General features: G+C 44.5%; 1 protein-coding gene across 3 annotated transcripts in view; it reads left to right on the top strand.

Moving 5' to 3' along the window:
• Positions 1-15,223, top strand: part of SAMHD1 (SAM and HD domain containing deoxynucleoside triphosphate triphosphohydrolase 1) — a 61,936-nt gene that overhangs the window by 41,306 nt on the left and 5,407 nt on the right. For 2 of the 3 annotated variants that reach the window (NM_015474.4, NM_001363733.2), the window contains exons 12-15: positions 4,900-5,039; positions 6,154-6,246; positions 11,859-11,963; positions 12,444-12,581. In NM_015474.4, coding sequence (NP_056289.2) covers positions 4,900-5,039; positions 6,154-6,246; positions 11,859-11,963; positions 12,444-12,581 — 476 coding nt within the window. The remainder of the gene's footprint in view (positions 1-4,899; positions 5,040-6,153; positions 6,247-11,858; positions 11,964-12,443; positions 12,582-15,223) is intronic. The other variant, NM_001363729.2, reaches the window with a different exon arrangement.

The following is a 15,223-nucleotide window of genomic DNA, read 5'->3' as shown; positions in this document are numbered from 1 at the left end:
CAGACAAGATTTTATTCTGTCATCCAGGCTGGAGTGCAGTGGTGCCATCACAGCTTATTGCAGCCTCAACCTCCGGAGCTCAAGTGATCCTCTTGCCTCAGCCTCAGCCAAGTAGCTGATTTGGCTACTTGGGACTATAGGCATGTGCCACCACACCTGGGAATTTTTTTTTTTTTTTTTGATACGGAGTCTTGCTCTGTCGCCCAGGCTGGAGTGCAGTGGCACAATCTCGGCTCACTACAAGCTCTGCCTCCCGGGTTCACACCATTCTCCTGCCTCAGCCTCCCGAGTAGCTGGGACTACAGGCGCCCGCCACCACACCTGGCTAATTTTTGTATTTTTAGTAGAGATGGGGTTTCACCTTGTTAGCCAGGATGGTCTCGATCTCCTGACCTCATGATCCGCCTGCCTCAGCCTCCGAAAGTGCTGGGATTACAGGCGTGAGACACCGCCCGGCCACACCTGAGTAATTTTTTTAATTTTTGTAGAGACAGGGTCCCATTATGTTGCCCAGACTTGTCATTATTTAACTCATACCTGGACTAATATTGAACACCAAAAAACTGACTTGGCCATTTAACATTATTTTCATTATAAAAACACAAGATGCCAGGAACATCTGTCCACACTTCTGCAGAAACAAAATCTGCAGCTTAGTGTGGAAAGGAGGAAAGAGAGGTAAAGGGTAAAGGTGGTTCTTTTTTTTTTTTTTTTTTTTTTTTGGAGGGGGGTGGACAGAGTTTTGCTCTTGTAGCCCAGGCTGTAATGCAATGGCACGATCTCGGCTCACTGCAACCTCCGCCTCCTGAGTTCAAGCGATTCTCCTGCCTCAGCCTCCTGAGTAGCTGGGATTACAGGCGCCCACCACCATGCCCAGCTAATTTTTTTGTATTTTTACTAGAGACGGGGTTTCACCATGTCAGCCAGGCTGGTCTGGAACTCCTGATCTCAGATGATCCATCTGCCTCGGCCTCCCAAAGCGCTGGCATTACAGGTGTGAGCCACCGCGCCCAGCCACAGCTGGTTCTTTAATGTGGGAAAGTATTGACTGAGATAAAGCAAAAGAAGTAGAACAAAAAGTGTACACCAGTCAGAGTTCTTAGTTACAAATTATGAAACTGTTTAACTAAAAATAAAATTGGGCCGGGCACGGTGGCTTACGCCTGTAATCCCAGCACTTTGGGAGGCCAAGGCAGGCAGATTACCTGAGGTCAGGAGTTCGAGACCATCCTGTCCAAAATTGTAAAACCCCGTCTCTACTAAAAATACAAAAATGAGCCAGGCGTGGTGGCACGCACCTGTAATCTCAGCTACTCAGGAGGCTGAGGCAGGAGAATCGCTTGAACCCAGGAGGCAGAGGTTGCGGTGAGCAGAGATCGCACCACTGCGCTCCAGCCTAGGCAACAGAGCAAGATTCTGTCTCAAAAATGAATAAATAAAAATAAATAAATAAATAAAAATAAAATTGGAAAGCAATCACATAGCTTACAGAATCCGTGGAAAGGCTGGAGGCTCTGAAAATGGAGAAAAACAACAGAAGCCAAGTGACCTAAGACACAGCCTAATCACTCTACCGTAGCTTCCTGCCGAGAGTGCTGCCGTTCTACCACAGCTGGATTCTATTTGCTGCACACTGACAGAATGAAACCTAAACTAGCTCCTCCTAAACTGTGTTTGAAGAACCAGTTTTTAAAATTACCAACCCCTTGCAGATTGATATTTCTGTAAAGTATGATAAAAATGAATTACTAGAAAAATGAAATGGGGGGAAAAGGCATGTAAAATACAAGCCCAAATTTTTATTATTCAACTTGACAGACTTCACATTACACCTTTCAGTAAATTCAATCAAAAGATAAATAATAGGCCAGACAAGGTGGCTCGTGCCTATAATCCCAGCACTCTGGGAAACCAAGGCAGTTGGATCGCTTGAGCCCAGGAGTTTGAGACCAGCCTGGGCAACATGGTGAAACCCTGTTTCTAAAAAATTTAAAAATTAGCCCTGGTGGTGCGTGCCTGTAGTCCCAGCTACTCAGGATGCTGAGGTTGGGGGGATCACTGGAGCCCAGGAGGCCGGGGTTGCAGTGAGCCAAGATTGCACCACTGAAGTCCAGCCTGGGTAACAGAGCGAGACCCTGTATCAAATAATAATAATAATGATAGAGAAAAAATTTAAAAATTAAATTACAAGAACTATATACATTGTTCTTTAAAAATATACATGTAAGGCTAGGCAGGGTGGCTCACGCCTATAATCCCAACACCTTGGGAGGCTGAGGCAGGTGGATCACTTGAGTTCAGGAGTTCAAGACCAGCCTGACCAACATGGTGAAACCCTGTCTCTACTAAAAATACAAAGTATTAGCTGGGCGTGCTGGCGGGTGCCTGTAGTCCCAGCTACTCGGAGACTGAGGCACGAGAATCAATTGAACCCAGGAGGCGGAGGCTGCAATTAGCTGAGATGGCATCACTGTATTCCAGCCTGGATGACAGAGCAAGACTCCTTCTCAAAAATAAAATAAATAAATAAGTAAAATAAAAGTTAAAAAAAAAATTGAACAAGCTGAAGATATTTACTTTTAATTTTCATTCATAATAATGCAAGTGATGCCATATTTTAAAAAGTCAGCCAGGCATGGTGGCTTACGCCTGTAATCCCAGCACTTTGGGAGGCCGAAGTGGGCAGATACGAGGTCAGGAGTTCGAGACCAGCCTGGCGCCTGTAATCCCAGCTACTCTGGAGGCTGAGGCAGGAGAATCATTTGCACCCAGGAGGCGGAGGTTGCAGTGAGCTGAGATCGCACCATTGCACTCCAGCCTGGGTAACAGGGTGAGTCTGTCTAAAAAAAAAAAAAAAAAAAAAGTCATCTTTATCCAGGTGTGGCGGCATGTGCCTTTAGTCCCAGCTGTTCAAGAGACTAAGGCAGGAAGATTAATTTTTTCAAATTATATTTACATTTAAACTAGCTTTTGGTTTAGCTGGGCATGGTGGCATGTGCCTATAGTCCCAGTTACTCAGGAGGCTGAGGCGTGAGGATTGCCTGAGTCCAGGAGGTCGAGGATGCAGTGAGCCATGATCACGTGCCACTTCACTCCAGCCTGACAACAGAGCGAGACCCTGTCTCAAAAACAAACAAAAAAAAATTTAGCCAGGCATGGTGGTGTACGTCTGTAGTCACAGCTGCTCAAGGGCTGAGGCAGGAGGATTGCTTGAGCACAGGACTTTGATGCTGCAGTGAACTATGATCGCGCCACTGCACTTCAGCCTAGGCCACAGAACCTGACCTTGTCTCCTTAAAAAAAAAAAAAAAGGCCAGGTGCAGTGGCTCATACCTGGAATCCCAGCACTTTGGGAGGCTGAGGCGGGTGGATCACTTGAGGCCAGGAGTTCGAGACCAGCCTGGCCAACATGGGGAAACCCAATCTCTACTGAAAATACAAAAATTAGCTGGGTGTGGTGGCATGTACCTGTAGTTCCAGCTACTCAGGAGGCTGAGGCACGAGAATCACTTGAACCTAGGAGGTAGAGGTTGCAGTGAGCCAAGATCACGCCACCGCACTCCAACTTGGGTGACAAAGCAAGACTCTGTCTCAAAAAAAAAAAAATTGCACAGATATATATATATGGAGAAAGCGCATGCAGAAAAACATTAACAATTGTTGAATTTAAGTGAAGGATATTTTATTTTGAAATTTTTCAAAATAAAAATTGGGAGAAAATGAAAGAAAGGAAAAACATTTCTTCTACTCTCATCATCGAATGGGACATTAAAAAATCATTGTTTTATTATTATAGAAATTTACAAAGCCATGTACCTGTCACTTAGCTTCAACAGTTATCAACACATGGCAGTTTTGCTTCATCTACCCACTCTTGTCAAACACTGGACAATTTAGAAGCAGATCCTAGACATAATTTTGCTTGTAAATACTTCAGGACCGTTCTCTTTTTATTATTTTTATTTTTTAGATAGTGTCACTCTGTCACCCAGGTGGGAGTGCAGTGGCGCCATCTCGGCTCACTGCAACCTCCACCTCCAGGGTTCAAGCGATTCTCCTGCCTCAACCTCCTGAGTAGTTGGGACCACAGGCATGCACCGCCATGCCCGGCTAATTTTTGTATTTTTGGTAGAGGCAGGGTTTTGCCATGTTGGCCAGGCTGGTCTCAAGCTCCTGACCTCAGGTGATCCACCTGCCTTGGCCTCCCAAATTGCTGGGATCACAGGTGTGAGCCACAGCGCCTAGCCACCATTCTTTCTTAAAGACAAAATAAAACATGTCAACAATAAATCCATACACCTTTATGTGCCCATCACCCAGCTCAGCAGTCATCAACTCCAATGCAGTCTTATTTCTCTCTATCCTTCCCCACTCTCTGGATTACCTGGAAGTAAATCCAAGACATTGACAGGAACTTTTTTTTTTTTTTGAGACAGTCTCTCGCTCTTGTTGCCCAGGCTTGAGTGCAATGGCACAATCTTGGCTCACCGTAACCTCCACTTTCCGGGGTCAAGCAATTCTCCTGCCTCAGCCTCCTGAGTAGCTGGGATTACAGGCGCCCGCCACTACACCCAGCTAATTTTTTTGTATTGTTAGTAGAGACAGGATTTCACCATGTTGGACAGGCTGGTCTTGAACTCCTTACCTCAAGTGATCCGCCCGCCTCGGCCTCTCAGAGTGCTGGGATTGCAGGCATGAGCCACTATGACTGGCCGACTGGAACAGTTTTAAAAGGTTTTTTCACTTAAATCTTTTAAAAATTTTTCTCACATTGCTAAAATAATAATGTACCTACATTTGCGAACTGCCTGTTAAGATCATTTCAATAGAATAGCACTATATAATTCTTTAACTCTGTGTTTTTATTTTAATATAACTGAAATGTCATTAAATTGGCAGATAACATTTTTCTGGAGATTTTATACTCTACTGATCCCAAATTGAAAGACGCACGAGAGATTTTAAAACAAATTGAATACCGTAATCTATTCAAGTATGTGGGTGAGACGCAGCCAACAGGACAAATAAAGATTAAAAGGGTGAGTTATCAGGCATCTTTCCATTAGTGAAAGGTTATCTCTGTCCTCCAAGAGGAGACCACTAACCTATCGTGATACTATGACTCTGTACTAAGTGCTTTACGTTTATTCTCATTTAATCTTCACAGTAGTGCAGGGGTCTTAGGCCTGTTTTACAGATAGAGAAACTGAGGCTTCACTGAGATTAAATAACTTGCTCATGAAAGCATATTTAGCCAGGATTCAAAAGCCAGGTCTAACTTAACTCCAAATCTTTGATCTCATCCAGGAAGTGAGAGTGGGTCTCCAATTTTGGCTAGATTCAGACATGAGAAAATGAATATAAGGGAAAGGAACCTCAAAAGAAAGTGCCTGCATGAGCTTCATTGAGGCTGTGGTGACCTGTTGTAATGACTTGGTTCCTTCACAGGATATCAGTCTCCCAGATGGCACATACCTGTCTTCTTTAGCTCAAATATCTATTTTCACCTCCTACTTGTTGAAGAGTTTTCTGTTTGCCAGAAAGCCGTAACACAAGTCATACTTATAACCACATCCTACCTCAATAATTTCTTGGGTTATACTTTACTTCCTCTTGTTGTACTAATAGGTTAATGTCACTTTTTTTTTTTCAAAATGTGAATTTTGTTTGTTTGTTTGTTTGTTTTTAGACAGAGTCTCGCTCTGTCACCCAGGTTAGAGTGCAGTGGCGCGATCTCAGCTCACTGCAACCTCCACCTCCCGGATTCAAGCAATTCTCCAGCCTAAGCCTCCCGAGTAGTTGGGATTACAGGCACCCGCCACCACGCCCAGCTAATTTTTGTATTTTTAGTAGAGACGGGGTTTCACCATGTCGGTCAGGCTGGTCTCGAACTCCCGACCTCATGATCCGCCCACCTGGGCCTCCCAAAGTGCTGGGATTATAGACGTGAGCCACTGCGCCTGGCCACTTTTTACAATTTTTTACAAAAATGCTCTCTTTGTTTAACGAGTGACATTGGTAGGAGCTATATTTGTTAAGGATATCTCTAATCGTTTTTCTTAGTTAGGTGCCATTTTCATAAAGAGAACCTGTTTGTGGCTCAAAGACTTGATGAAAAATGGATTCTAACATGGGGAGTCTTGTGTTTTCCAGGAGGACTATGAATCTCTTCCAAAAGAGGTTGCCAGTGCTAAACCCAAAGTATTGCTAGACGTGAAACTGAAGGCTGAAGATTTTATAGTGGATGTAAGTAATTAGCCCAGTAATAAACTGAGTGAATACGTTTTAAAGATAAAGCACCCACCATTATAAAAGTAGTACATGTTCATTTTAGCAAATTAGAAAAATACAGAAAGATGATGTGCCCTCACAAAGAGAACCAATATTATTAACCACAAAAACATTTTGTTCATGATGTTTTGCCATTATTTTTAATATAATTGTGGTCATGTGATTACATTGTCTATATTAATTAAAAATTTTTAATTACACAAGTAATACATTTTAATTTTTTTTATTGCCTGCATACAAGCACAGAGGAAAAAGTTGTGGGGCCAGGCACGGTGGCTCACGCCTGTAATCCCAGAACTTTGGGAGGCAGAGGTGGGTGGATCACCTGAGTCAGGAGTTCAAAACCAGCCTGGCCAACAAGGCAAAACCCCATTTCTAGTAAAAATACAAAAAAATTAGCCGGGCTTGGTGGTTTGCGCCTGTAGTCCCAGCTACTCGGGAGGCTGAGGCAGGAGGATTGCTTGAACCCAGGAGGCAGAGGTTGCAGTGAGCCGAGACCATGCCACTGCACTCCAGCCTGGGCAGCAGAGTAAGACTGTCTCCAAAAAAAAAAAAGAAAAAGAAAAAAAAAATTGCTGGGCACGGTGGCTCATGCCTGTAATCCTAGCACTTTGGGAAGCCGAGGCGGGTCGATCACAAAGTCAGGAGATTGAGACCATCCTGGCCAACATGGTGAAACCCCCATCACTACTAAAAATACAAAAATTAGCTGGGTATGGTGGTGTGTGCCTGTAGTCCCAGCTACTCAGGAGGCTGTGGCAGGAGAATCGCTTGAACCTGGGAGGCGGAGGTTGCAGTGAGCCGAGATCACGCCACTGCACTCCAGCCTGGGCAACAGAGCGAGACAGCACTGCACCTCAGGCCAATAGTCTCAGCAGATTACACCCTGGACCTTATCAACATTCAAAACTGCCCTCCCTGTAAAATCACTAGTTTAACATACTTTTCTCTGTCCACAAACCCCTTTCTTCCTCATCCATGTTTTCCTAGCTCATCAGGCCCTCTAGTTTATTGTGTCCTCACTTTCTTCGAGCTTGTCAGTGGCCTTCTATCTTCATTTCTCTCCACGTGTAGGCCGAGTGAGGTGGCTCACGCCTATAATCCCAGTACTTTGGGAGGCCAAGGCGAGTGAATCACTTGAAGTCAGGAGGTTGAGACCATCCTGCCCAACACGGCGAAACCCCATCTCTACTAAAAATACAAAAAATCAGCCAGGTGTGGTGGTGCGCGCCTATAATCCCAGTTACTTGGGAAGCTGAGGCAGGAGAATTGCTTGAACCCAGAAGGCAGAGGTTGCAGTGAGCCGAGATCACACCACTGCATTCCAGCCTGGGCGACAGAGTGAGACTCCATCTCAAAAAAAAAAAAGTATCTTAGATAACGTGATACAGTAATTCACTCATTTTCTGCAGTTACCCTCAACTCTCTTTTCCTTCTTTGCATCTACCTAGCAGAAGGCCAAACAACCTAGATGAATCAAATCTAAACATCTCCACACCCATACCTGGACACATAAATGCTCCTGGATACCATCACTATACAGGCATATCTATAAATTTCCGGTCACGAAACTAAGCTGGGCCTTCTGGCAGGCTTAGTGTGATTCTCCCAGTCTCTAATAATCATTTCAGTCCAGGCACAGTGGCTCACGCCTGCAATCCCAGCACTTTGGGAGGCCGAGGCGGACGATCACCTGAGGTCAGGAGTTCGGGACCAGCCTGGCCAACATGGCAAAACCCCATCTCTACTAAAAATACAAAAATTAGCCAGGGATGGTGGTGGGTGCTGATAATCTCAGCTACTCAAGGAGGCTGAGGCAGGAGAATCACTTGAACCTGGGAGGCGGAGGTTGCAGTGAGCCAAGATCATGCCACTGCTCTCCAGCCTGGGCAACAGAGCAAGACCCTCATCTCAAAAAATACTACTACTAATAATCATCATCATCATTTCAAACTGTCCTCCCTCCTCTCAGAACTCCAACCATGCTTCCCACCTCCAGCTGTATTCATCCTCATGAGTAACCCAACCTTTGGCTCCTATTTCCAAGATAAACTATAGGCCATTAGGTAGCAACTCCTTAGACCTTTCTCACCAAAGAAACAAGCCTTCCTCCATCTGTCACTGTATTCAGTATTCCCATTCTTATAGTGGGGAAACAGCTTTGTTCTTGTCAAAGGCTTAGGGTAATTCTACTTGTGTTCTAGAGAAGTGTTGTCCCATAGAACTTTCTGCAGTGACAGAGATATTCTTGGTCAGTGATGTCCCTTTCCATAGTCACTAGCTGCATGCAGCTGTTGAGCACTTAACATGTGGTTGCTGTAACTGAATAACTTCATTTTTTATTGTATTTAGTGTTAATTATTTATTTATTTTTTAGAGACAAGGTCTCACTCTGTTGCCCAGGCTGGAGTGCAGTGATGTAATCACAGCTCATTATAACCTCAAACTCCTGGGCTCAAGTGATCCTCCCACCTCAGCCTCCTGAGTAGCTAGGACTACAGACATGTGCCACCATGCCCAGCTAATTTTTAAGTTTTTTGTATAGATAGGGTCTCACCATGCTGCCCAGGCTGGTCTCAAACTCCTGGCCTCAAGCAATCTTGCTGCCTTAGCCTCCTGAAGTGCTGGGATTATAGGCATGAGCCACTGCACCCAGCCAATGTTAGTTTAAACTTTTGTTTATCTTGAGACAGGGTCTCTCTCTGTGCCCCAGGCTGAAGTGCAGTGGCATGATCATGCCTTGCTGCAGCAAAACCCCATCCGTACCAAAAACACAAAAATTATCCAGGTGTGGTGGTGCATGCCTGTAGTCCCAGCTACTCGGGAGGCTGAGGTGGGAAGATCGCTTGAGCCCAGGAGGTGGAGGTTGCAGTGAGCTGAGATCGCACCACTGCACTCCAGCCTAGGCAACAGAGCAAGAGCCTGTCTCAAGAAAATCATGAACACCACACTGCTCTTCCCCTCTCCTCTTTTTCAGGGTCAGACTCATCTTCCCTTACCTTTCTAAGGCACCAGATTCCTCTCCAGATACTTCTTTCTTGCTGTCTTTTTTTTCCTTTATGTTTTTATTTTATGTATTTTTTAAATTGATAAATGATAACTGTCTATTTTCATGGGGTACATAGTGTATATAAATGTCAGATCAGGGTAGTTAGCATACCCATCATCTCAAACATTTATCATTTCTCTGTGTTGGGAACATTCAATATTCTCCTTCAAGCTATTTAAAACTATGTAATAGGCCGGGCACGGTGGCTCATGCCTGTAATCCCAGCACTTTGGGAGGCCAAGGCGGGCAGATCACAAGGTCAGGAGATCGAGACCATCCTGGCCAACATGGTGAAACCCTGTCTCTACTAAAATTAAAAAAAAAAAAAGTGAGCCAGGCATGATGGCACACACCTGTCATCCTAGCTACTTGGGAGGCTGAGGCAGGAAAATCGCTTGAACCCAGGAGGCAGAGGTTGCAGTGAGCCGAGAGCGAGCCACTGCATTCCAGCCTGGCGACACAGAAACTCCATATCAAAAAAAAACAAAAAAACTATGTAATAGATTACTGTTAACTAGGCCGGCCCCGGTGGCTCATGCCTGTAATCCCAGCACTTTGGGAGGCTGAGGCAGGTGGATCACTTGAGGCCAGAAGTTTGAGACCAGCCTGGTCAACATGGTGAAACCCCGTCTCTACTAAAAATACAAAAATTAGCTGGGTGTGGTGGTGCATACCTGTAATCCCAGCTACTTAGGAGGCTGAGGCAGGAGAATCACTTGAACCTGGGAGGCAGAGGTTGCAGTGTGCCGAGATTGTGCCACTGCAGTCCAGCCTGGGCAACAGAGCAAGGCTCTGTGTCAAAAAAAAGGAAATTACTGTTAACTATAGTCGTAGTCATCCTACAGTACTATAGAACCCTAGAACTTACTCCTCCTATCTAGCTGTAATTTTCTTTTCTTTAACATCTTGCCTCCTCTGAACAGCCAAAGTTCTAAGAGTTGCCTTCTCTTACATTTTTTTTTTTTTTTTGAGACGGAGTCTCACTGTGTCACCCAGGTTGGAGTACGGTGGCACGATCTCGGCTCACTGCAACCTCCAGCTCCTGGGTTCAAGCGATTCTCCTGCCTCAGCCTCCTGAGTAGCCGGGACTACAGGCGCCTGCCACCACATCTGGCTAATTTTTGTATTTTTAGTTGAGATGGGGTTTCACCATATTGGACAGGCTGGTCTTGATCTCCTGACCTCGTGATCCGCTGGCTTCGGCCTCCCAAAGTGCTGGGATTACAGGCGTGAGCCATTGCGCCTCTTACATTTTTGTTTCTCATTTTCTCCTGAACCTTTTTTTCTGTTGCCATCACTGTACTCTCTCCAGAATCACCGGTGACTTCAGAGTTGCTAAATCCAGGAGACAGTTTCAGTCCTCTCTGCCTCTGAGCTGTTTCCTCTGCCTGCAATTCTTTTTCTTCCCACCTAAGCCTGTTTGTTTCTTGCTCACTTAGTAAAGTCACTTTCCCAGGAAAATGTTTCCGGTCATTCTCCGGGCACCCTAGGCTACATCAGGTAACCTGTTAGAACATTTCAAAGCACCCTTTGCTTTTCAACTGTGGTTGAATACTTTTATAATTATTTGTTGAATTTCAATCTAGGGCTGCCTGGTTTGTGGGGGCTAGGATTTTCTTTACTTATTTATTTTTGGAGGCAGAGTCTTGCTCTGTTGCCTAGGCTGGAGTGCAGTGGCGCAATCTCAACTCACTGCAACCTCCGCCTGCCAGGTTCAACCAATTCTTGTGCCTCAGCCTCCCGAGTAGCTTGAACCACAGGTGCACAACACCACGTCTGGCTAATTTTTTTTTTTTTTTTTTTTTAGTATTTTTGGTAGAGACAGGGTTTCACCATGTTGACCAGGGTGGTCTCGAACTCCTGGTCTCAAGTGAGCCACTGTGTCCGGCCTGGGATTTTATTTTAAAGTGTCCTTGTTGTACCTCTAGTGTCTATCTGTGTCTGTCACATAGCAGGGATTGAGTTTACACCACACTTAGATCAAACACACAAGTGCATTTCCCATTCTTCCCAGATTTCAATACCAAATCCCTAAGAGTGGTCACGAACCAGTTATTTTTATTCCACCATGAGTCACATCAACATTCTTATTTCCAAATCCCCAGAAGGCTCTGTTCCATTTCTTTCTTTCTTTTTTTTTTTTTTTTTTTTTGAGTCAGAGTCTCACTCTGTCGCCAGGCTGGAGTGCAGTGGTGCGATCTCGGCTCACTGCAACCTCCATCTCCCAGGTTCAAACAATTCTCCTGCCTCAGTCTCCCGAGTAACTGGGGTTACAGGCGCATGCCACCACGCCCAGCTAATTTTTGTACTTTTAGTAGAGGTGGGGTTTCACTATGTTGGCCAGGCTGGTCTCGAACTCCTGACCTCGTGATTCACCCACCTTGGCCTCCCAAAGTGCTGGGATTATAGGCATGAGCTACTGCGCCCGGCCTCTGTTCCATTTCTTGTTATGCTCCTACAGCCCTGAGTTCAGTTCTCCTGCTTGCTATATGATTACTTGTGAATTGCTTTTATTTAGGTTATCAACATGGATTATGGAATGCAAGAAAAGAATCCAATTGATCATGTTAGCTTCTATTGTAAGACTGCCCCCAACAGAGCAATCAGGATTACTAAAAACCAGGTAACTACTTAGGCAAAACAAATATACTATAGTGGCATGTAGCAAATCTTTATAGTAAATTAGCATTTTATATGCAAATTAGGTTTTAAGGCATATCTTTACAATTAAAGTGGGCCTGGCACAGTAGCTCATACCTGTAATCCCAGTGTTTTGGGAGGCTGAAGCAGGACGATCACTTGAGACGAAGAGCTTAAGATCAGCCTGGCCAACAAAGCGAGACCCCATCTCTACAAAAAATAAAAAACTTAGGCATGGTAGCTCATGCCTGTAGTTCCAACTACTTAGGAGGCTGAGGTGGGAGGATCACTTGTGCCTGGGAGGTCAAGGCTTCAGTGAGCTGTGATTGTGCCACTGCACTCCAGCCTGGGTGACAGGGAGATCTTGTCTCAAAAAAAAAGGAATAGTTAGGAGCCTAGGGACCAGCTGATATCTCCAATGTGTGACTTCAAGGTGATAGTGAAATCTCTTCATTTTAAAAAGGTTTCACAACTTCTGCCAGAGAAATTTGCAGAGCAGCTGATTCGAGTATATTGTAAGAAGGTGGACAGAAAGAGTTTGTATGCCGCAAGACAATATTTTGTTCAGTGGTGTGCAGACAGAAATTTCACCAAGCCGCAGGTAGGTGGCCTGTTACTCACAAACTTTGCACAATTTTTTATTTTTAAGTAAAAACCAAAAGTAAGTCTATCTGCTGAAAAGTTCCCATTTAAGTTATAGTCATTTGGTTATGGTTTTGAAAATAAGGTCTTTCACTTTCTTTCCTTTTAAAATGTCTGAATCTGTGTCAGCCAGTGATTTCTTCCTACAGGAGTTGGGAATGGATACTGTTTAGCATTATTGTCCTAATAATAAAAATGTGAACATGTAAATAATGCTTTCTAATGTTGTTCACCAGTGGCCCTGGAAGGTTATTCATAGTGTCTCCATCTTTCAGAGGTTACCAAAGCTGAGTAGTTAACTTGTTTAACATAAAATTGATAATAGACTTCATGTTTCTAAACCTCGTTACTTCAGTATATTAGTTAGCTATTTAAATTATCTAGAATGTGAGTAGAGGGAAGAGGAGCCAAGCCACAGTTGCCAACCCTGTAGAGAAGGTTGTTAAAATTGTCTCTTACTGACCTACACATGGTAGGTGTCTGCACAGAGAATGTGGCCAGTTGGCATTTATTGAATGAATGAATGAATGAATATGATTGGCATGCAGGGCAACAGTGCTTTACTGCCTAGTCTAGAACTCTCCCTCACACCTCCCTGTGTGTCAGGTGCTAAAGGGAACAAAGGATAGGGTGAGACATGAAAGCGTAGCTCAGGATGTCGGTGCTTTATCAAGTGCCACAAGGCATGATCCAGGTAAGATCTCTGAGGATTCAGAGAGTTGGGAGATCTCTGGGAGAAGCCTGGTGAAGGGGCAGGATCTGCTAGATCTAGAAGGCAGGGTTGTGTTTGGATGAGTAGCAGGGAGAATGCAGGGTATATTTGGCAGTGGGAGGAGCACAAAGGCATGAAGCTGGAATGAGCTGAGACTGTTTAGGGGACCATGAGGAGACCTGTCAGGGTAGAAAATTCTTTTTTTTTTTAATTAATTAATTCATTCATTTTTTTGAGATGGAGTCTTGCTTTGTCACCCAGGTTAGAGTGCAGTGGCACGATCTTGGCTCACTGCAACCTCTGCCTCCCAGGTTCAAGCGATTCCCCTGCCTCAGCCTCCTGAGTAGCTGGGATTACAGGCATGTGCCACAATGCCTGGCTAAATTTTTGTATTTTAGTAGAGATGGGGTTTCATTATGTTGGCCAGGATGGTCTCTATCTCCTGACCTCGTGATCCGCCCACCTCGGCCCCCCAAAGTGCTGGGATTACAGGTGTGAGCCACCATGCCCAGCCAGAAAGTTCTTACTGTTAAGTGTGGAGAGGTTAAATGGGAAGAGTGGACTAGATTATTGAGAACCTTGGATAATTGGCTAAGAGATTTTTTTCTCTGTACAGTGGGGAGGGAATCATTGAGCATATTCAAGAATTACCATGCACTGTATGATCTACCTGAATGTGTGTCATCTCCAACTAGAGTGACACCCGTGGGAATAAGAGTAGAATTGTCCCTTGGTGTCTGTGGGGAACTAGTTCCAGGACCCCCACAGACCCCACAGATAGAAAAATCCATGGATAGGCTGGGCGCGGTGGCTCATGCCTGTAATCCCAGCACTTTTGGGAGGCCGAGGTGGGCGGATCACGAGGTCAGGAGATCAAGACTATCCTGGCTAATACTGTGAAACCCCGTCTCTACTAAAAATACAAAAAATTAGCCGGCGACTGCACTCCAGCCTGGGTGACAGAGCGAGACTCTGTCTCAAAAAGAAAAGAAAAGAAAAGAAAAATCCACAGATGCTCAAGTCCCTTATATAAAATGGTATAGTGTTTGCATATGACCTATACATATCCTCCTTTATACTTTAAATATCTCTAGATTACTTATAAAACCTACTACAATGTAAATCTATGTAAATAGTTGTTAATACTGTATTGTTTAGGGAATCATGACAAGAAGAAATTCTGTACATGCTTAGTATAGACACAGCCATCCATTTTTCCCCCTTCATATTTTCTATCTACAGTTGGTTGAATCTGCCCATGGATGCAGAGGGCCAACTGTATGTCTGTCCTAGGTACTGTGAAACTAAATCACTGAAACTAAATCACTGAAAACTCTAGCTGCAGATAGACTGGAACTTGGAGAGTCTGGAAATAGAGAGTCAAGAGAGGCTATTAAAGTTTGGCTGTGTCGTGATAACTACTATAAATTTGGTACATTCACTCACGGAGTGAGTATTTTGCCATGCCCTGTGTTAGGTACCTGGAACAGTACCTAAGATAGACAGTTCCTAATAACCCATGGATCCCATTCAGGTTGGGGATAATAATCTAGTTGGGGATAATAATAATTATTATTAATTTTTCTCCATAAGTTAATAATTATAGGAGCATGGTAAGTACTTTGGGTATAGGGTGAGTACACAGTCTTAGAAGAGGAAAAACAAGGAGGATTTAGCTGGTCTTGGTTGGTCAGGAAAAGCTTATTTAAAGAAGGGCTTATAAACTGAGACCTGAAGGTTGAGTGAGGAGTTGTCTGGGTTAAGGGCTGGCAGCAGGAGGTGGTGGTAGGGGAGGGGTTGAGGCATAGACACCACAGGGTTAGGTCGGAAGATGAGAAAGAACATGATGCATTTCAGGAAGGAGCATAGAGTGTGGAGGTGTCTGGGGC

This window comes from Homo sapiens, chromosome 20 (genome assembly GCF_000001405.40).
Source record: "Homo sapiens chromosome 20, GRCh38.p14 Primary Assembly".
Lineage (NCBI taxonomy): Eukaryota > Metazoa > Chordata > Mammalia > Primates > Hominidae > Homo > Homo sapiens.
Note: the sequence above shows the minus strand (reverse complement) of the source record. Positions and strands in the feature narration are given on the sequence as shown.